The sequence below is a fragment of the Homo sapiens genome, chromosome 16 (assembly GCF_000001405.40).
Source record: "Homo sapiens chromosome 16, GRCh38.p14 Primary Assembly".
NCBI lineage: Eukaryota > Metazoa > Chordata > Mammalia > Primates > Hominidae > Homo > Homo sapiens.
This window is the reverse complement of record NC_000016.10, coordinates 6,537,528-6,560,225: the sequence shown is the minus strand read 5'-3', so window position 1 is coordinate 6,560,225 and position 22,698 is coordinate 6,537,528. Positions and strand designations below refer to the sequence as shown.

The following is a 22,698-nucleotide window of genomic DNA, read 5'->3' as shown; positions in this document are numbered from 1 at the left end:
AACTAGAATATTGACTTCATGAGGGCTTGACTTTTTTTTTTTTTTTTTTTTGATAAATGGCAAACGAATTGATTACCATGCATGGGGCAGAATAACAGAGTGATTACCCCACCGCACAATGTGATACAGATGGTTATATATCCTTCTTCTTAGGGGAAAGGGAAATGGGAAAGTGTGGATGATTTTAGCATAGGTAGTAAGTGATTTTTACGGGAACTCAATGGGCTTGAAGAACAATGGCCTGTGACAAAAGTCTGTTCATGTGGGTTGGAAAACATCAGTCTTTCTTCCTGCAATATGAGTTCAATTAATGAGAACTCAGGGAAGGAACCAGAGGTTCTTGTTTTCTTTTTTAGTGGGTCCAGACTTTAGGCAGATAAGGGAGCTTCAGGGAACAACTTCAGTTTGTCGTCTTTACACCAACAAGTTCCAAATGCAGGAAGAGCGCCTGGCACATAGTAGGTGTTCAATATATGGATATAAAGAGATATAGATATATAGACACACACAGATTATAGAGGGATATATATACACAGATATATACCTATGTACTTATTTGTGTGTGTGGGTATATATTCACATATATGTGTGTGTGTATACATGTATGTATGTATATATATACACATACACCCACACGTCCTATTTTCCAATGTCCTTCCAACACGACAGGTGACTCAAGTCATACAGTTCAAAAAGCTTCCCATTTCCTCAACATGAAATTCATGTTTTCTCAAAAAATGCATAGTTCAGGATAAACTCTTCTCCTCTTTCTAAAAGAGAAGATGGTGCTGAGATGATCTCAGCAGTGGTACTAGCAGCTGTGTGTGGATCTATATCTATATATGTATACATACGTGTGTGTGTATATATACACACATATACACACATACATATACATGTTCTAAATATATGTGAGAGAAATAGACTGAGAGAATGAATAAACCCCTGTTTGGGTGTTTTGTCTAATTAGACACTTTTGGTTATAAGGCACAACTTATCTAGACATTGACATGACATGTGACTATGTGAGTGTGTGTTTGTGTATATATATATGTACACACAAACAGTCATATATATACACATATGTATATACACACACACACACACACACACATATGTATATATAAACTGGAGGAAAAGTACAAGGAACTATGAGACCAAATACAGACATATTCTCATCTATCCTAGGGAGTTGGAGTTGCATTAGGGGTGGGAATTCCAGGAAAGACTTTCCTGGAGGAAGCGGCATTTTTGAGTAGAGAGTGAAAGGAGAAGTAAAAGCTAACTCTGCAAAGGTTGTGGTGAGGCAGGAGGGGCACATTCCAGACAGAGGGAGCAGAATGCTCACAACGTCCCACTCAGGAGGAGCTGGGTATGTTTGGGGAAGTAAAAGTCAGCATGGCGGTAAGGCAAGAGCTAGTGGGCTTGAGGATTTAAGTCAGGGGGTGGGGGTGGGGGAAGCATGTTAATCATCTTAGCTGAAACACGTTCTTTACCTGTGTGAGAGTGGGACGGACGGAGGGAATGAATAAGCACCTGTTTGGGCGTTTTGTTTTGTTTAATTAGCCATCTTTGGTTATAAGGGACAATTTTTCTAGACATTGACATGACAACTGCCATATCCCCAGGACAAAAGCCAAAAGCCCCATGTGTCAATTTGTAGGGAAACTTTTGAAAGTCATGACAAAGTTCTACATCAGGAGGCTGATTTTTCCAATGTCCTTCCAACGTGACAGATGACTCAAGTCATACAGTTCAAAAAGCTTCCCATTTCCTGTCAGGAAATCCATGTTTTCTAAAACTAAAAAATGCACAGTTCAGGATAAACTCTTCTCCTCTTTCTAAAAGAGAAGACTGCACTGAGCTGATCTCAGCAGGGGTGCCAGGAGCAGCAGCAGCAGCGGCAACATGCTCTGTAAGGCCTCTTTCTTATTCTCGATTTGCAAAATGCTTTCTCTGATTGCCTCTAACAATGGGAGGTGGGGACGAGCCACATAGAGTCATTTCACCCATCACTAACCCAACACACCTGCACGTTACGCTCCAGCTCTATCGCACTCCTCCCAGGCTTCTGGGCAACCGATATTTTTTGAAAGACTTATAAAGCACTGATTTGGAGTACATAATAACTTAATATTAATTTAAGTGACTAACATAGAGAGCCTTAAAAAAGAGCCTAATTTATGAAAAATAGATCTCAATTTTCCTAGAAAATGTTTCACAGTGACAGCAATGTATCCCATGAGCAAAAATGAGGTTGTGGCAAGAAAGAATTTAATTAAGATGAGTTGGGCATGCCATAAGCAGTATATCGCTGAAGAAGCATTGGGGAAGTACTTAACACACCAAAGGGGAGAATACACAATATTAAAATGACCAATAAATTAGCCTACAAATCTACTTAGCTCTACATTTGTCCTGCACCACGAAATAAAACATTGCCTTGACATGGAACCGTCTGAAATTTTTCACAGCAAATCAATTTATACCGAAGAAGGAAAATGCTTATGCAACTTCTGGGCTGCAGTTTGCAATGAGATACTTGGTCGAAAGGAGCATTTTCCCCTTCTCCATTTCATCAGAGATAGAATGGGAATTAATCAGCGATACTTAACTACCCTTTCAACAGGACTTCGGCAACACCCACAGAAATACTTCATTTCTTTCAACATTTCTGAACGTCAGACAGCCGCCAACTTTTAGTAATTCCATATATTACTGCAGACTGTGAAAAAGGATGTTAAATCACAAGACAGATGACAATGTAATAAATTAGAGAAATTGTGGCTGTTATTGTGAAATCGTACTGTCCCAGTCTGGTTCACATCTCCATTTCTTGATGTAATACGATTTGAGTATAATTCTTAGCAATTATTTTCAAAGCATTCATAAGTTCTTCTCCCCACTGTGAAAGCAAGATTCTGCTTTATATCCTCTTTTAAATCTTAATTCATGGGTGTCATGCATCACCCGAAAAAGAAGGGCATGGTGATTCCAAAATGTCTGTTTTGCCAGATTGTTCTTTCCCACTTTTTTATTATATATATGTATATATATATATGTGTATATATATGTGTGTATATATGTATATATGTATATGTATGTATATATGTATATATGTATGTATATATGTATATGTATGTATATATGTATATATGTATGTATATATGTATATATATGTATATATATGTGTATATATGTATATATATGTATATATATGTATATATATGTATGTATATATACGTATGTGTGTATATTTATATATATAATGAATATTTAATACATGGCTCAGCAATGGATGACAAAAACCTCAACTCTGTGATCATCCAGTTAAGTGAAATCTCCTCTACTTCTCCTCAGAAGACAGTCACCAGTCTTGCCATGGTAGCAAAGAAGGGTCAAAACATAACACCTGCAGTCACATGAGCCTCTTCAGGTCTAAGTCATAAGAAATTTACTATTAATTTATTTTCTGCCACTTTTTCTTTTAAATGCAAATTTCTACGGCAGATCATCACAATACATTTAATTCTCTATATCATGTGATTATAACAAAACAATTTGGCCATGGCACTGTGGCATCATCTCAATACATGCCATCTTATCTCAGGCTATATATTAATCTAAAATTCAATCTGGAAAATGACAAGAATGTCTCATAATGGAATACCCAGTGAATGGCTGATTCGTCTTTCATTGTCTGTGGGCCTTAATGCGCCGTGGACTTCCTGGGAACAAATGAGACCTCAGAGGCGACATGTTTTCATTTTATCACATTTATTTGAGATGACCGAGGACAGTGCCCAATATTTATTCACCACATTCAACATTTGCCATCATCAGAATAAAAGGAGAGCCGGCACAGTTTGAACAACATCTGGTAATTCCAAAGAGATAGTGTCACTTGAAGAACAAATGAACCTTTAGTTAATAAAATCTCCCCCTGACTGACAAAGATGCCTTTTTGTACACATGCAGGATCCGTGATAAGTAGATAGAGAGACGTTGATAAAGAACACCCAATTCCTACAGCGGGAAGTCAATGCCGCCCACGTTTAAATAAAGACAGGGTTTATTACTGGTCTTTTATGAATCATGATAAATTAAATGTCCTGAGTTCTGGAGGAATAGAAGATTTAAATTATAATTCTGAAGGCCATGGGAGTTTCACTAGTCTCAAAATGCCCTAGTGCCTCAAAGTAAGACTAATATTACCAAGGACAAAAAAATGTAGTCGGTTCCAATAAAGAACCCCTTTCATCCAATAATGCCAGAATAGAGTCGATCCTCCTATATTCCGAATGCCTATGATCCCCATCCCTTATGCAGCCAATATTTAATGAGAATTGACTAATAACCAGACACTGTGCTAGTCACGTGCATTTCATAGTAAGAAAATGTCTAGAATAGGCAAGTCTGCCTAAATGTCAATGCAACTACACACAAGTGCGTAACTAAACAGAGATAAACACACAATAGATGGAATGATATCTTTTTTGTTTGTTTGTTTTGTTTTGTTTTTTTTTCAGACAGAGTCTAGCTCTGTCGCCCAGGCTGGAGTGCAGTGGCATGATCTTGGCTCACGGCAAGCTCTGCCTCCCGGATTCACGCCATTCTCCTGCCTCAGCCTCCTGAGTAGCTGGGACTACAGGCGCCCGCCACCACGCCCGGCTAATTTTTTGTATTTTTTAGTAGAGACGGGGTTTCACTGTGTTAGCCAGGATGGTCTCGATCTCCTGACCTCGTGATCCGCCTGTCTCCGCCTCCCAAAGTGCTGGGATTACAGGTGTGAGCCACCGTGCCCAGCTGGAATGGTATCCTTTAATACATGAAGAACTAGACTTCTGACTACTGTGTGGTCAAACCCATATTTCATCAAGCTTTCGCATTACCATAACACTGGAAATGATGGGTTTTATAACTATTGATCATGCCCAATGGATAGGATTTGGGTGAAAGGAAATTAATTAAAGAGACAGGCTTTGTATACTTGGATCTTACCTGATATGGAATGCAGGGAACATTCTCTGGTCTAGGACTCCTGATTTTAAAAGAGTATTTATGATAGAAATGCAGACACTACTGGACATAAAAAGTATGAGACATAAGAATGGAGGCACCCCCTTATCCTCCTTCCCTGTGTTTCCATGTGCAAGAATTTTTCTAGCATAATATTCTGGGCCTCTCCCCAGCTTCTCATTCCTCCATGCTAAGAAGGAATGGTTTATCAAATTGGTTCCTTTGGGAAAAGAACCTGGATGTACTCAGGCTAGTCACTTAGCCCTAGGTCAAATTCTCCAGCTGGCAGAAAAAGCATACTCTGGGCTTCTTTCTCAGCTACAGCACTCATGAGTGAGAGAGAGAGCGACAGAGCGAGAGTGAGAGGGAGAGTCTGTGTGTGTCTGTGTGTCTGTGTGTTTATCTGTGTGTGTCTGTGTGTGTGTCTGTGTACCTTTGTGTGTGTGTCTGTGTGTGTGTGTGTGTGTGTGTGTGTGTGTGTCTGTGTCTACTGGAGGCCAGAGGATGGACTGAAGATTTCCACACTTTCAGTGACTGATGGACAAGTCTGCACAAATCAGGAGAGTACAAGCAAGCCCATTCGGCCATACCTTTAAATTTGGGTTTATTTAATAAGCGGAAACCTTTTTGTTTTCTTGTTTAGAAAACCAGTTTTATTGAGATAGAGTTCATAAACCATAAAATTCACTAATTCAGGGTACACGATTCAGTAGCTTTCAGTATATTCACACAGTGGTGCCATTATCACCACAATTTAATTTTAGAACTTTTTTTTTATTACCCCGGGAGGGAAGCCTCGTGCACATTTGCAGTCCACGCTCCATCCCTAGGCAATTACTAATCTACTTCGCATCTCTATAGACTTGCCTATTCCCAACACTTCACGGGGATGGGAGCAGAACCTTAAAAACATTAGGCTAAATGAAAGAAGATTGTTTATTTCCTTTTGCCTTCCTGCCCAGCTTCTTTCTCCATTGGTTCTTACTCAGTAGGGAAATAAAGGGATGTTATTTCTTAAACCCCTAGAGCTACCACATATGTAAGATGGTTTCTTGTGCCCCATTTTGCCAATTTCTAATTACTTCTTTAACACTTTGTTATTTTCATTTTGCACAGACATTAAACTGTTATGTTAAGGCCAGCACTTATTTATCCATTCATTCATTCATTCATACTTTCAAAACACATTTATTCATCCCTAATATGTCTGCCAGACCCTGGGGTTTCCAAAATGAATAAACCCTGGTACCTGCCCTCTGGGAACTCACACTTAATTGTTGGGAATGATTTAGGTACAAAGTTGTGCAAAATCTATAAAACCGACTCCCAGGAAGGTAAGTCCAAGGACTCTTGTCAATTCATGATGAGATTTGGCACCATCCACGGGTTGCTGTCTCCATGAAATTCCTTCTACCCTTTAGGAAACTGTCCCTCCCTGGTTCACCTGCCACCTCTCCTATCACCTTTTGCTGTCCTTCTCTCCTCCATTCTTCCAACCATTCATAGAAGTGGCCCATCCTTAAAACAAATCTTCTTTTCTTCCTTTTCTATCATCCTGTCCTGAGAGAGATCGTCCATCCCCACCGCGTCTACTCTCACCTCCATGGCAACTTGTGAGTAGCACAAAGGTGAGTAAGATGTGATTAGATAGACTTGGTGACAATTGGATATTGGGTGGTAGGTTTGAGGTGCATGTACTTGTGTGGATTGGTGTAGGTGGCATCAATTTCCACCAAGTATTTCCATGTTTCCCTTGCCAATTATCGATTAGCTAACTTATCTCAAAAAGAGCATTCTCCTTTCTATCCATCCTTGATAGACGTTCACTGAATAGTCCTATACACTCCACACATTATCCCCAGCATTTGCTGCCTACGTCTGCACTTCACGATCTTTATTTCAACCCAAAAGCTGCTGTCTGCTCTAAATCGGTGGCAACTTCATGGAAACTATTGATTTATAGTGATGACCCTTCTTGCCTGTTCACATCTCAAATCCATAGCGTGAGAAGAGCTGCAGAAATATTTATTCAGACAGATAAAATCCTCCCTGTTTAACAGAACTGACTTCCATGACCAGTGGGCACATCCTGTTACCTAGGGACGTTTCCACGGGATTACATACTGAGACTCTGGCTGTAACTGGAAGTTGCTGCCACTGAAGTGTCAAAACAAATAATAATAAAAGCCAGTCCTCAGAGAACTTGCAGGGGGCAGCTGATGCTTTTTCTTTAGATACTTTTTAAAAAATTTTTAATTAGAAAAGATTGTAACATAGATACCAGAAATCTATGTAATCTAATAACATACATTTTGTTATATTATGTATAACACAAAACAGAATATACTGCCAGACATACTCTATATTATATATTTATAATATATATCTTACACATAATACATTCATACATACCACATATAATTGTATGTGTATTTATATGTGTGTACATTTTCTATATAATTTTTGGTATAAAATGTACACACATATGTATGTGTATATCACATAATTACCCATTTCTGCAACAAAAGGAATATACAAATTTTGTTTCTTTTTCCATTTTCCAAGGATGCCAAATTTCAGAAGGTAAAAGAATGATGAATCAAACCTCAAAATTCCTCAAGTATTGTTGTTTATCATTGCCATCAATGCACACAACACTGGGATAACAGGTAACATTTATTCGGCAATTACCATAGACCAGGCAAACATCTGAATACTTTGCAGGTAGTATCTCCTTCAATCTTCACTACAAACACATGAATTGGGCATTATTATTCCATTTTACAGATGACATTACTGAGTTTCTGAGAACTACAGAGACTAGCCCAAGGAGTCACAGCAATTTCACCCTGAGTCTTTCAGTCCCCAAAACTGGGCTCTGATTCACTGGTATGATTGGTTTCCTGATATTAGTTATTCTCTTTCCTTTTAAAGAAAAGGGGTTGCCCTCCTTCAAATACTTTCATTATTACTCTATTCACTGGTCTAATTCAGCTTAAATGAGGACTTTCAAAGGTATGTATATTTACTAGATGTGTTCCAACTTTTAAAAATGTGGGCATAGCTTAGCCACACACAAGAACATTATTGTCCCAGCAGGAAGCAGTAGGTCATGAAGTGATTTCTAAAAGCATAACCTGTTACCAAGCAAAGGTGGGAGGCATGGAAATTCATCCTTTCCTCTCCTGCTGAACTAATAGATGTTCTGAATTGACTGGTAATGGGATATGACTAGAAGATGAGAGGCAAATCCTTCTGAAATCCAAATAACTCTCAAAAATTTAAAGAGTAGACTGGATCCTGAAGGACACTGAGCTGAAGGCTTTTCCCACTCTGAAATGACCAACGCACTGAGAGAGAAGAACCACCTTGGCAGAATGTGAGATGTAATTGGCATGATAATCACAGTAGCTCTGACGTCCCGGTTGGAAAAGGACCATCTCAGCTGTCCACAACTGCTGCCTTATTATCAATCATCAGACATGGATACATTATTCATTTTGGCTCTAATCTTTTAATAGTCTTATCTGTAGCTATATTAGCTACACATTCCCAGGCAAGCTTTTACAGAATTCCTTATTTTAAGTGTTCTTAACACCAAGCACCTCCCCTTCAGATCAATTATGTCATAATTTACATTTTAAATATTATCACTTGATGAATGTGTGTGCTACCAGCCTGCAGACTTCATGAGCCAATAGCTACAAGTAATAGCTGTCATTTGCTAAATGGTTACTTATGTTAGACAGCGTAAAATTATACGATCCTTTAGTTTTCACAATAGCTCTGTGAAGTATCTCTTTATTCCCATTTTACAGGCAGGAAAATTTAGGCACACAGTTGTTGAATAACTAGTCTGAGATGCCGCTGGTAATAAGAGGCAGCCCCAGACTAGACCATCCCAGTAGCAAAGCTCCAACCATGAGGGCAGCAGTCACATATGTATTTACTCATTACATGTGTCCAACACATAGCTGATGCTACACAACATTTGCTGAATTAGTGAGAAGCTGCTTATCCTGAGTTGGGCTAGATCTATATAGACATACAGGGAAGCCCTTTGCTTTGTGTTAATCTCAGAGAGTTGAGCTCTGTAACCCAAAACGCAGAGCCATTATCACATAAAATGGGTCCAGGAGGCAAAATTCCTGGGGCCCCCAAGAGAAACAAAATCCATCTCCTCCTCTGCAGTCAGCTCACTGTTCTCCTGTGCTCCTCCAAACTATTAATGCCCACACTTGTATTCCCATAAGTGAACACAGCCAGACCCAAATGATGATAACTTGAGTTGCCCGAGTATTCACACCCTCCTTTAGACTTGTCTGGGAAGAACTCACCAGAATTAAATATCTATTTAGGGCCAGGCATTGTTCTAATCAATGTGAAGTGCCGAAGCAAGAATCACAAAACAGTACTCTGTTTCTCAAGAAAGACATAAATTCTTAGAAACTAAAACTGAAGTAGGTACAAAGTATTTTATGAAGTATAACAATTTCAGTGGGGATGCAGAAGAAGAAATTGATTTTGGCTCATGCTGGAAAAAGCTCATGAAGAAGGAAAGAATTAGAAGTGTGCCATGAAGGCTGGGCACAGTGGCACATGCCTGTAATCCCAGCACTTTGGGAGGCTGAGGCAGGTGCATCACTTGAGGTCAGGAGTCCAACACCAGCTTGGTCAACATCATGAAACCCCGTCTCTACTGAAAACACGAAAATTAGGTGGGCATGGTGGCAGACGCCTATAATCCCAGCACTTTGGGAGGCCTAGGTGAACAGATCACTTGAGGCCACGAATTGGAGGCCATGAACTGGAGACCAGCCTGGTCAACATGGTGAAGGCTTGTCTGTAATGAAAATATAAAAATTAGCTGGGCCTGGTGGCACACACCTGTAGACCCAGCTGTTTGGAAGGTTGAGGCAAGAGAATTGTTGAACCTGGGAGGCGGAGGTTGCAGTGAGCTGAGATCACGCCACTACACTCCAGTCTGGGCGACAGAGTAAGACTCTGTCCCCCCGCCAACCCCCAAAAAAGAAGTGTACCATGAAGAACAGTGAGAGATAGAGAGAGGGGAGGGAGAGGGACTCCAAACAGAGCGAAGAGAAAAATGTTTCAGCTGGAGGCACAAGTGAACAGCATTTTAGATTCAGTCATAAAGTATGGAATGGTGTCCACTTCTTGGGTGGATTTGAAACTGTCACCCCTCTTAGACAATGTTCAAAAAGTGTCAGAAAATCCACTGTAAAAGCAAAGCCAGCCAAAGAAAGCATCTGTGAACTGGTAAGCAGAGCAAACTGAGCTGGGTAGTAGTCAAAGTACGTAAGGGTCCATGAGAAGGTCTCTCTACTACTGTGTGCTTGTGTTTCCTTTTGTTTTAGGATCGACCTAAAATCTTTTACTTTGGAAAACCACCCTTGCCCCATTCTACATCTGCCTATTTCATTTAGTCAGAGCTGTATTCCCCTCATTCTTACCTTACTCTGTAGGTCATGAGGCTGGAGACCAGCCACTCAGAAGACTCCAGCCCTATCGTCTAGGGATTTGCTCAGAAGTAGGCACATGACTCAAATTAGCCAATCAAAGCCTTCCCTACAATTTGCTGCAGTATCTTCAAGTGAATGCTTTCCTCCTCCTTCCTCCCTTCCTCCCCTCCTCCCATCCTCCTCCTCCCCTCCTCCTCCTCCCTCCTCTCCTCCTCCTCTTCCCCTCCTCCTCTTCCTCTTCCCCTCCTCCTCCCTCCTCCCCACTTCCTTTTCCCTCCTCCCTCCTCCTCCTCCCTCCTCCCCTCCTCCTCCTCCTCCCTCCTCCTCCTCCCTCCCTCGTCCCCTCCTTTTTCCCCTCCTCCTCCTTCCCTCCTCCCCTCCTCCTCCACCCCTCCTCCTCCCTCCTCCCCTCCTCCTTTTCCCTCCTCCCTCCTACTCCTCCCTCCTCCTCCTCCCTCCTCTCCTCCTCCTCCCTCCTCCTACTCCCTCCTCCCCTCTTCCTCCCTCCTCCCCTCCTCCTCCCTTTTCCCCTCCTCCTCCTCCCACCTCCCCTCCTCCTCCTTCCCCCCCCCTCCTCCTTCCCTCCTCCTCCTCCTTCCTCCCCTCTTCCTTCTCTTTCCTCCCCGCCTCCTCTTCCCTCCTCCCTTTTTTGGGGACAGAGTCTTGCTCTGTTGCCCAGGCTGGAGTGCAGTGGCATGATCTCAGCTCACTGCAACCTCCACCTCCAGGGTTCAAGTGAATCTCCTGCCTCAGCCACTTGAGTACCTGGGATTACAGGCGCCGCCACCATGCCCAGCTAATTTTTGTACTTTTAGTAGAGATGGGGTTTCGCCATGTTGGCCAGGCTGGTCTCCAACTCCTGACCTCAAGTGATCCACACACCTTGGCCTCCCAAAGTGCTAGGATTACAGGCGCAAGCCACTGCACCCAGCCAAGGATGCTAACTTCTCGAAGACTACGTGTGGAAGAAACCTAACGATGCCTGGTACCAAGAGAGGAAGCAGATCTGAGAGAATCAGAGTTCTTGCGACATCGTGAAATCTTCTGACTCAACCGCGCCTGAAGTCTACCCCGTGTGCTTCCCAGTTCTATAATTTAATTCTTTTTTCCTTCAGCTTATTTGAAAGTTTATTCGTGTTTTATTTGTATCTTTGTCATCCCTGTGACTACCTGGAGAGCTTACTTGAAACTTAAAAAAATTTCTTTTTTCACTTGGAACTGAAGAAATTCTGAAGAAATCAGTGTGTAAACATCCTTGTAACCTTGTACATTCTAATTCTATGCTGGTTGTGCCTTCCCTTCTCATAACAAAACCTAAAAAGCCCAAAGAGACACTACATACCCCCCAACAATTTGATATTGAGACCTCCGCCTTTGGAATTCTCATTTCTATTCTTTTAAGCACCACTCTGTTTTCTAAACTGCCAAAATGATTCAAATGATCTCGGACACTATAGCTTTTTTGACAGTTGCTGACATCTAGCAAAACAAAACAAAAGTTTACAAGACTGATGGAGATTATAAATAAAGGATGGCAATACCCAAGACTCACAATATTCAAGGCATGTCAGTAAAGTGACACATTTAACTGGATTAAATGTAAACCAGCCTTCAGTATGTGAAATATGTGTATCCTTCAAAGAACTGAAGTTAATAGTAGGTCCTGCAATTCTTACTACGATGAATAGTCTGAGCTTGTCAATAAGAAAATAGATAATAAGGGCTATGATTAAAGGACTTTCAGTGTACATCCATTGTCATAGGTCTTCTCTACGTTTCCCAGCTAAGGGTCTTTCACAGCCTCGCTTGCAGTCTGGGGTTTAGTCAGCATCCTAACCGTGAGAAACACTGTGAATTAAATACTATTCCTTTCCAGAGTTCAAAGAAGTCACATTTGAAGGCCAAGGTTTAGATGCAAATAGGAAAGATGACATTTTGAGAGAAAAAAAAAAATCACACATGACCAGGAAGGACCCCTGGTCTAAACGAAATGTATCCCAGAGTAGATTTTCTCTGATCTCTGCTTTACAAAGATCAGCTATCTTATTACAAACCTCAAAAAGCGATCACATTTACTATATTTCTAGAAGTCTGTAAGTCATGACTGTTTCTTCCTTTTCCCCTCCCTCAGGAGACAGAGAAAAAAGGTGTTATTCTGCCTGACTTCCAGGAGGAAGATTTCATGAATATCTCAATAACAACAACAACAAAAAAAAGAACCACAATTTGTCTGTTCTGTTATCAGCAATTAAAGATACTTTATCTAGTTACTATGGAAGATGGCACCATTCGACAATCATCTCTGACAAACTGATCATTATCAGTAATTTATTACCAGTTTCTTAGTTAATTATCCTCAGGAAGGAGAGCAAAAATCATTTGTATAGAAAATAAGTAGTCATTAACAACAGTGAAATTTGTTGGGAATGTGATTATAAATCACCAGCCGGGGCTGGTAATGATTCCCAGGAAGAAAGAGGAGGAAGAAAAAACAGATACTATATGCCACTTTAGGGAACTATTCTGGGGGAAGAGCATTTTATAATAAACGTTTCCCCACCAATTAAAATGAAGAATGGCTTGCATCTTAGTAAAAGAGCGCCAGATACTTTATTCTCAATGCAATAGAGTTGGGCAGGGGAAGAACACATTTCTGCTTCAGCAGGCAAAGCTAGTAATAATACGCATGCTCAGGCACTTTAAAAATCTGCCTCTCCTGGCTAAGCTCACTTTGAGTCAAGAAAAAGAGCCCTACTTCACTTTTTGAAAGTTAATTGAATCTACGGACCACACTTTGATTTAAGGGTTTGAAAACTGTGTGGTCCACAAACCAAGCATGGACTTCGGAGGCATGATCTGTGTTTGAACTTGTCATTGCCAATGGCAAGCTCAGAATCTTTGGTCCTATTATGGAGCCTATGACCCCATTTGTGAAAATGGAATAGGATATGTATCCGCTAGGGGTTAAATCATGTCCCCTCAAAAAGACAGATAAACCCTTAACCTCAGGTACCTGGTAATGTGACCTTGTTTGCAAAAAGAATCTACAGAAAGGAATCAAATTAAGATGAGGTCAGTAAGGTGGATGTGTCCTTATAAGAAGGAGAAATGTGGACACAAAGACAGACACAGACAGAAGGAAGATGATGTGAAAAGAGCCAGGGAGAATGCCACATGAAAGTAGAAGCAGACAGAGGTGCTATGGAGCTGCCAATCACAATATGCCAGAGAGTGCCATTACTCCAGGAGTCAAAAGAAGCAAGGCAGAATTCCCTTACAGGTTTCAGAGGGAGCATGACCCAGCTGACACCCTGACTTTGGGCTCCTTGGCCCAGAATGGTGAGGCAATAAATGTCTGTCATTTTTAGCCACCCAGTTTGTGATACTAACTAATACCCTATCTTACAAGGTCTTTGTGCAGATTAGGCAAGGAAGAGCTTACAATGCACTTGGGACAAAGTCTGACAGGCGATATGAGTGCCATGAAAATGCTTGCTCAATAGCTTCATGAATCATGACCCTACCTAGACAAACAATACGTTTTTAGGCCAAGCTTGTCCAACCCATGGCCCACAGGTCACATGTGGCCCAAGATGCCTTTGAATGTAGCCTAACACAAATTCATAAACTTTCTTAAAACATTATAATCTTTTTCTGTGATTTTTTAATAGTTCATCAGCTATTGTTAGTGTTTGTGTATTTTATTTAGAGCCCAAGACAATTCTTCTTCTTCCAAAGTGGCCCAGAGAAGCCAAAAGATTGCAAATCCCTGTTTTAGACAACAGTACACAGAGACTATCTAGCACGTGCAGTACTCAAGTTGAAAGAGCTTTAGGCCTGGCATCAGACACCTGGGATTCAAACCCTATTCTTAACATTTCCAAGTTTTCACCAGAGTGGGCTTTAGATTACTCTCCTATAGCTTTGAGGCTGTCCACTATATGCCTTCCTCACAAAGATGCCATCAGCCTCAAGTGGGAAAATGCACATTATAAGCCCTTCGTAGTTTGAAGCACCTTTTATTCAGCAATGCCACTAACATGGGTTCTGGGGACACCATGGTGAGTAACTTAACAAGCACCACATCAATAAATCTGCAATTAGTACAGTGAGATCTTTGGGGTGGAGAGTAGTTATCGGAGGGGTTGGGAATTGCGTTTCTGCAGAGTCTAAACCGAGATGTGACATAAGAGTGGACCTTGCCAAGTGACCACGACAGGAGGCATCCTCTGGCAGAAGGAGAGGCACACGTCTCCAAGGCTGCAACAGAAATGACATGGAGGACAGGGTGTTGAAAGCCCTAAGAATGATGGCCTGGAGAGAAAGAGAGAGAGGGGTTGGAGAGAAAGGCAAGAGGCCAGATGAAACTGGGATTACAGGCCAAGTTATCCGTTTTTATTTTACGTTTGGGTTTTTATTGAAGGCCAGGAGGGGGAAAAGATGGGGAAAGGTAACCTGTTTTGAATATTAAAAGGATCAACCTATTACAAAAAGATTGGATCTGAAGGCAAGGAAAAGAGGGAGACCAGTTAGGAGGCTTGTAGTCCAGATGCGGGTAGTTTGGATTAAAGTGGCAAAAATGGCGCTAGGGAAAAAGTACGCGGATTTTTAGATATCATTTGGAGGAAAGCCATTGTTATTACTTTTATCTCCCAATTTAATTCAACTCAGTCCTATTGGAATGCCTTCTGCCACTTCCCTGACAGATGGTCAGCCTATAAAAAAAAGATTTATTAGTTTAAACTGAATAACCTATGCTTAATCACCCTTTGCCTAATCCTCTGTAAGAAAATAAACTCTTAACTAATAATCATAAAAAGCAGACATGTGCAAACAATGGTACTGGGCAAAGGTAACGGATTCCAACTTGGATCAAGCCCCATCATAATATCACTGGTCGTGGGTACCCTTCGCTGACTAATCTACGTGCTCAGCATCATTCAATTTTCACAATATCTTTGAGAGAGGAGTGTTATCATCTCCATGTGACAAACAAGGAAACTGAGGTTTGAAAAGACAAACTTATATAGAGTCCCACAGTTAGTATGGGGTGGATACGCAGTCAGCGAAACTGAAGTTATGATCCTCAAATCCATCCAGTCTCTTATATGCACCCATGAAGTTAATGAAAACAGCATTTGAATCAATACGATCGAATGCTAAGAGAAAACAATACCAAGAGTTGCATATAATCAATAATGAAGAGATCAGAGTTGAATTCACATGAAAAATTTCCTATGAGATCCTACAAAACAGGAAATTACAGTGCCTCCCAGAACATCCGTTCAACTAAGCTGGACCAGTGAAGCCAAGAACTAATTTAGGTGGAAATGTTTGCCAGGTGTTCCTCAGATTGCAAGAGGGGAAAAGGTGGTTTTCCACCATTGATGACACTTCTGCTATGCTCTAGATATGCTTGATTTGAATCCATTCAAAGTTATGAGGCTAATTTCTTGCAACCACACCTGTGGTGGCCAAGAAGTACCTCTTTCCCCACCAAGTGTGGTCCAAGTACCATAAAGTGAATGCCTGTTCAACAGGGCCTGTTGCCCCTGGGATGAGCACCGTGGAAGTTACTCGGTTCAATCTACTGGTGCTGGGGATGCAAAGACAGATAAGATACTCTCCCATCTCAAACAGCTCATGGGCCAGATGGCACACAAGACAGACACCTAGAAGAGCATCTCAGGTACTTGCTAATATTTGGCAAACATAAGAAACCAGAGACAAGGTGCTTTTCAACATTTCTCCTCTTTATACCTTTCTTAGATTTAAAAGCAAAATGCCCTTATACTTTTTATTCCCCAAATGCCAAGATGGCCTTTCTATCTCGTGTTATCCTTCCTGGGTTCCCCTTCTTCTTCTTTTGGTTTTTTTCATGCAGGTGTATCTGGAAAGATGTGGCTTCTTCTGCCAGGGTAGACTCTGTAGTGACACTTCAGAAAACGTGTCTTACTAAGTGTTTAGAAAGAGATTCTAACCCTTCTAAGATGCTTCGGTGTGAACCTCGGGGAAAGACTTCCACATAATCCCGTAGGTTCTCCTCTCTCCTCCCCTGCCAAGGTGCCTCTTTCCAACCAGGCAAAAATCTTCCAGACCGGGAGGGCATCTAAGTGGAAAACAAAACAACAGCAAAACAACCCAAAGCAGCAGTAAAGGCCTTCTTGGAGCCACAGTAAGGTATAAAAAGCGCAAAGCCCAAAATGCAGGCGGAAAGATCTCAGAGAGGGAACAAGTGGGTTCCCAAACTGAGCCACATGTCAGAGTCAAGAAAGAAAATGCCTCTGCAAGCAGGCTTGAATCAGGCCAACCCAATAAAGGTGCGCAGAGTCTCAGTGGAAGTCTTTGAGAAGCCACCGAGTAGAGACTCAGTGGAAATCTGCCCTTCCATTGTGTCAAGTCACAAGCAGTAAAGAGTCTCAAGGAGGGGCAACTGTTCCAATTCCCAGAGTTGCTGAGCTCACAGCTAACGGTGGCATGGAGGAGACGCCATCCAAAGAATGTTAAACATTAAGCCTAGTGCATCCTCTTCCCTCCTGAAGAATCCTGCCATGTTCCACCTAAGGGATGGGGTACAAATGTGCCACATTTTGAGTGTAACTCTCCTTATCTGCTAAACACGGAGCTTATTTCCATTTGAAATGAACAAAACTATTGATCAAAATTGGCTTGGATGTGATTACTGCCAAACGATAGTGTGGCCCTGGGGAGGGAGAGTGAGAGGAGGAGGAATGATAAAGAGTAGGGCATCCAGGATAAGAGTGATGCCGCACTGTGAAGACAGACGCCCCTTCTAACTGTGACTCAGCACGGTGTGGTCCCCACTAATGTACCCAGAGGAAGTCAATGCCAGGCCAATGAAGTTTACAGACTTACAAAAGATGGTAACTGTGGCACCCAGGAAGGCAGAGCCAGCGTCTTAAGACTGTGGTCCCGGCCGGGCGCAGTGGTTCACACCTGTAATCCCAGCACTTCTGGGGGCCGAGGCAGGCAGATCACGAGGTCAGGAGATCAACACCATCCTGGCTAACACAGTGAAACCCCGTCTCTACTAAAAATACAAAAAATTAGCCGCCAGGCATGGTGGCGGGCGCCTGTGGTCCCAGCTACTTGCCAGGCTGAGGCAGGAGAATGGCGTGAACCCAGGAGGCGGAGCTTGCAGTGAGCCGAGAAAAGGCCACTGCACTCCAGCCTGGGTGACAGAGCAAGACTCCTGCTCAAAAAAAAAAAAAAAAAAAAAAAAGACTATGGTCCCACACAGGGCAGTGGATCATGCGATTATCCACTGAGACACCTTTCTTAGCTGCAGTTGTTGAGCTCAGAGGAAAGCACACATGGGGTAAAACCCTCCAGTACACCTGCCTCACCCCTGCATTTAGAACACCCCACAATCCAGCCCTGTGTGAGGTGCTACTCAAGAAAGAGAAAAGAAACAGATAAGTATCTGACCTCTGGTCAGGAATGGCTTATAGATCTCAAGATTATTTTTAAAATAGATGTTGGTGGGGCAAAGTAGCTCACACCTGTAATCCCAGCACTTTGAGAGGCAGACGCAGGAAGATCACTTGAGGCCAGGAGTTTGAGACGAGGCTGGGCAACATAGCAATAGCCTGTCTCTAAAGAAAAAAAAGTTATCTCTGTGTGATGGTGCACACCTGTAGTCCCAGCTACTCGGGAGGCTGAGATGGGAGGTTTGAGGCTGCAGTGAGCTATGATCATTCTACTGCACTCCAGCAAGGGTGACAGAGTGAGACCTAATCTCTTTAATTAAAAAAAAAAAGGGGGAGATGTAAATCAATGAACACTAAAGCAGTGAACACTACCTGCTGCACAGAGCCTGATGTAAACTCTTTGGGTTAATCTGTTCAGATGCTCAAGCTGAACCATTAAAGTTGTTTGTAAGTCTTTTTCGCTCACCTCTTCCACTAAGTCTAGGGTCTAGTCCTCATATTTATGTCCAGTATCCTTCCTCTATCATTAGCTCCTGCCCACAGCTACTATCTTAGCAGCTACCATCATCTCTGACCTACAGCATTTGCCCAGAATTGATATTCTTGCTCTTCCTACAATTAAATTTCCACCTAGGTGTCACTGAGATTTTTAAAACATAAGTCATATCCTATCCCTCCTCTATTTAAAACTCTACAGTGACTTTCCATTGCGCTTAGAAAAAATATTCCATTCACTATGCCCTATCTCAGGTACTACTACGTCACCCTGATGTGACACTGTTGTCATCTTTCTCGGCAGATCACTGACTTACCTATTCACTGTCTGATCCCTGCACTGTGACCAACTCCATGTGAGCAGGGAACTGTCCAGTGCTGCTCACTGCCATAACCTCTGTTTAGAACAGTGTCTGGCATTGGGTAAGTGCTCCATAAATACTTGTTACATGAATGAATGAATGCCAGAGTCACCTATTTCTACCATTGGGAGGTTGAATATCTTCATGTCAAAGTTCCTTCCCGGGCTATTCCAGGAGAGACTACAGTCTGTCTCCCTTCAGAGCCTAAGACAGGAGGACCTAGAGCCATTACCGCATAGAATGAAAGAGTTCTCATCTGTGTCCTACTACCAACTCACTGTGAACACTCAGGTTATTTTCCCTCTCTGAAACACAGGTTTCTTTTACTTGGAAATATCTTAGAGCTTTTCCATCTCTAAAAGTAGCATTATCCTAGGATCCCTCTTTATATAAGAACTTGATTCACTCATGCTTGCTCTTCGTGCTGCTTTGCAATGTGGAAATGTCTAGGGGGTTCTGGCAGGAATTTCCTCTGATAGCAGATAATCCCAGACCTCAACTCCAAGAAGTCAGAGAAACGACATTTTAACGGATTTATAATGGAGAAATATGATGAATACAATCTGAGATAAAGTAATCCACTGGTAGTTTCACTAGCAAAAAAAAGTACAGCTAGAGTAAGATAAGCCAGTCTTTTTAAAGAGTTACTTTAAGTGAATAATTAGGTAAGTTAATAAAATTTAAAATCTGAATATGTTTAAAGCATTGTATAAGAATTTGTCAACACAGACACCACAGATTAGGCATTCTTGAAACGTCTGTACAGAGACTGACTTGAGGTTTTTTTTTTTTTTTTTTTTTTTTTTTGAGACAGAGTCTCGCTCTGTTGCCCAGACTGGAGTACAGTGGTGCAATCTCGGCTCACTGCAACCTCGGCCTCCCAGGTTCAAGCGATTTTCCTGCCTCAGCCTCCTGAGTAGCTAGGACTACATGCGCATGCCACCACACCTGGCTAATTTTTGTATTTTTAGTAGAGATGGGGTTTTACCATGTTGGCCAGGATAGTCTCGATCTCCTGACCTTGTAACCCACCCAGCTCAGCCTCCCAAAGTGCTGGGATTACAAGTGTGAGCCACCACGCTAGGCCTGAGTTGAGTTTTTTTTTTTTACAGCCAGCCAGCTTATATGATGGCTATCTACGAATAAAGAACAATTGAGGGAGAATTGCACAAATTCTAAGGCCAAAACCTACTTTCAAGAATGTTAAAGTAATGAAGAATCATTAACATAAAGATAGACCTCAGATTCACAAATAGGATTCCCCAAGCCACATACAGAATCAGGTCATTATGCTAAAAACATGGGTTCTTCAACTGACAGAGGGCAGCCTGCTTCTCTATTTCATCAAAGTCAAGTCACGTGAGGCCCTACCCAGGACAGAGACTGTTGAACTGCAGGGTTGCTGTGTATACCTGAAAGTAACAAAGTTCCTTTCTGTTAAGACATTGGTAATTTTTTCATTGGCTGGCTATCTGTGGGGAAAACCATTTAAAGTTACCTTGCCTTGGTGGAGAAGGTTTAAAAGTTCATGCAGAAGCAAAAAGACAGCTTGTAGGAAGACAATGAGATAATTCTAAAGTCTGTGTGTGTGTGTGTGTGTGTGTGTGTGTGTCTGTGTTTTGAGATGCAGCCTCAGTCTGCCGCCTAGGCTGGAGTGCAGTGGCACGATCTCAGCTCACTGCAACCTCCATTTCCCAGGTTCAAGCAATTCTCCTGCCTCAGCCTCCCGTGGAGCTGGGACTACAGGTGCTGGCCACCAGGCATGGCTAATTTTTGTATTTTTAGTAGAGATGGGGTTCCACCATGTAGGGCAGGCTGGTCTTGAACTCCCGACCTTAGGTGATCTGCCTGCCTCAGCCTCCCAATGTGCTGGGATTATAGGTGTGAGCCACTGCACCTGACTGTACGTGTGTGTTTTAAAGAAGTATATTGTGCAAATAGACCCAAACTATGTAATAGAGTAAAAACTAGGACAGAAGTAACCATGATAATAATACAATAACAGCCAGCGTTGATGTGGAGTGCTGCTGTGTGCCAGATGCTACGCTAAATGCTTTCCTGCATTATCTTATTTAATCATTAGCCATTTCTGTAAGTACTATTCCATGATTTATTTGGGAAAACAGAGGCACAAGGAAATTGAAGGACCTGCCCATGCTTATACACACTACCAAGTGGCATAATTAGGGTTTAAACCTATAAGTGCCTCCATCATACTGCACAATGATTCAAGTAGAAGTTTCCCGCCAAGGAGAAGAACAGTCATACCATGGGCAAATTTTCTTTTTTTTTTTCACCAAATATCATCAACTGTTCTTTCTGCCAGGGTCAAAGGAGTCAGCCTTGCAGAGACAGCAATGGAGTGGGACTTTTATTCAAATCATATAGGACACTCCACATGAGACAGTAAAAATAACATTGGAATGACACAGTACCTGGAGGTAAAAACACCAACAAACCAGCCAACAACTCTTCCCTTTCCAACCTGGCACCAGCTAAGAACAGACAATGGTAAAATCACTGGAAAGAGGAGCTAATCCCTTCAATCTAAAATAGTAAGTTTGGCACCATTTTACATTGGCTACTGAATGGATACAGGACAAAGAACCGCATATTAGCAAACAAGACAGAGGCCCTGGAAGAAGCCATGAAAAAAAACAACCAACAGCTGGAAAAAGGCAAACACATTCAGTCGTCAAAAGTTAGTGAGAATTCTGTGTTTACCTTGGTTTAACTCCCAAACCGTTTTCTACAGCAGGTGTGCCATTCTGCAATCCAACCAGCAATATTTGAGAATTTCAGTTTCTCCACAGCCTGGACAACATTTGTTACCTTCTGTTATTACTATTATTATTACTTGTCATCCTAGTGGGTGTGGCATGATGTCTCCTCATGATTTTCATATGCATTTTTTGCTTTTTTGTTTTGAGATACAGATTTGCTCTGTTGCCCAGGCTAGAGTGCAGTAGCGCAATCACCACTCACTGCAGCCTCGGCCTCACAGGCTCAAGTGATCCTCCCACCTCAGCCACCCAAGTAGCTGGGACCACAGATGTGTGCCACCACACTCAGCTAATTTATTTTTATTTTCTGTAGAGATGAGGTCTCCCTGTGCTGCCCAGGCTGGTATAAAACTCTTGTGTTCAAGGACTCTTCCTGCCTTGGCCTCCCAAGTACTGGGATTACAGGTATGAGCCTCCATGCCTGGCCTGATTTGCATTTCTCTAATGACTAATGGTGTTGAGCATATTTCCACATGCTTATTGGAGGTAATCATTGCACAGCATTGTGAATCTAATGTCCTTGAATTGTACAGTTTACAATTCACATAATTTTATATTTATATAATTTTATATTATGTATCTGTATTTTATATTATGTGAATTTTACCTGAATAAAAAAGTTTGAAAGTAGAAATATAAACAAAGATAGAATTAATCTGCAAATCACTGTAGAGTTCCTAGGATATCCTTTTTATTAAAAAAAAAAATCTTGCTCTTTAGGCCGGTTCTTCCATTCAGCTATAATTACTACAGATAATGATTTAACTCAATTTAAATATATTTTTCTATATATAAAGAAAATCACTCCTGCTGGATATGTAAATCATTTCCTGAATTTCAGCTACCAGTGAGCACTATTTGGTGGTCTTCAGTTGGAACCACATTATCTTCTCTTATCTGCTATAAAACCTTAAGGAATGGCCTAAGGAACTCAATTAATATTTGTAAGAGGTTTATAATGATGAAGATGCAAAAAACTCCAGACATTACACTTCAGACAAATAAACTGCATTTCAGGGCAACAGTCCATGAGCAGTACAGATACTTCAGCGTGGTCTCTGAAATCATACTGCCTGGGTTCAAACTCCACTGAGTGTTAGCTCAGCAA

At 41.7% G+C, this 22,698-nt stretch overlaps 1 protein-coding gene across 28 annotated transcripts in view, besides 4 other annotated features; it reads right to left on the bottom strand.

Moving 5' to 3' along the window:
* RBFOX1 (RNA binding fox-1 homolog 1) overlaps nt 1-22,698 on the bottom strand; it is a 2,473,620-nt gene that overhangs the window by 1,153,115 nt on the left and 1,297,807 nt on the right. The gene's annotated exons all lie outside the window — the stretch shown is intronic.
* Nucleotides 1,053-1,956: an enhancer, noted in NCBI's record as "OCT4-NANOG-H3K27ac hESC enhancer chr16:6608271-6609174 (GRCh37/hg19 assembly coordinates)". NCBI's record gives its function as "activates a minimal SCP1, AML or CMV promoter by ChIP-STARR-seq in naive and primed H9 embryonic stem cells {active_cell/tissue: H9 hESC(naive and primed)}" and the evidence as "EXISTENCE:reporter gene assay evidence [ECO:0000049][PMID:30033119]".
* Nucleotides 1,053-2,861: a biological region, named in NCBI's record as "OCT4-NANOG-H3K27ac hESC enhancers GRCh37_chr16:6607366-6608270 and GRCh37_chr16:6608271-6609174".
* Nucleotides 1,784-2,078: a silencer, noted in NCBI's record as "tiled region #616; HepG2 Repressive non-DNase unmatched - State 24:Quies, and K562 Repressive non-DNase unmatched - State 24:Quies". NCBI's record gives its function as "represses a minimal TATA promoter and a strong SV40 promoter by Sharpr-MPRA in HepG2 and K562 cells {active_cell/tissue: HepG2 | K562}" and the evidence as "EXISTENCE:reporter gene assay evidence [ECO:0000049][PMID:27701403]".
* Nucleotides 1,957-2,861: an enhancer, noted in NCBI's record as "OCT4-NANOG-H3K27ac hESC enhancer chr16:6607366-6608270 (GRCh37/hg19 assembly coordinates)". NCBI's record gives its function as "activates a minimal SCP1, AML or CMV promoter by ChIP-STARR-seq in naive and primed H9 embryonic stem cells {active_cell/tissue: H9 hESC(naive and primed)}" and the evidence as "EXISTENCE:reporter gene assay evidence [ECO:0000049][PMID:30033119]".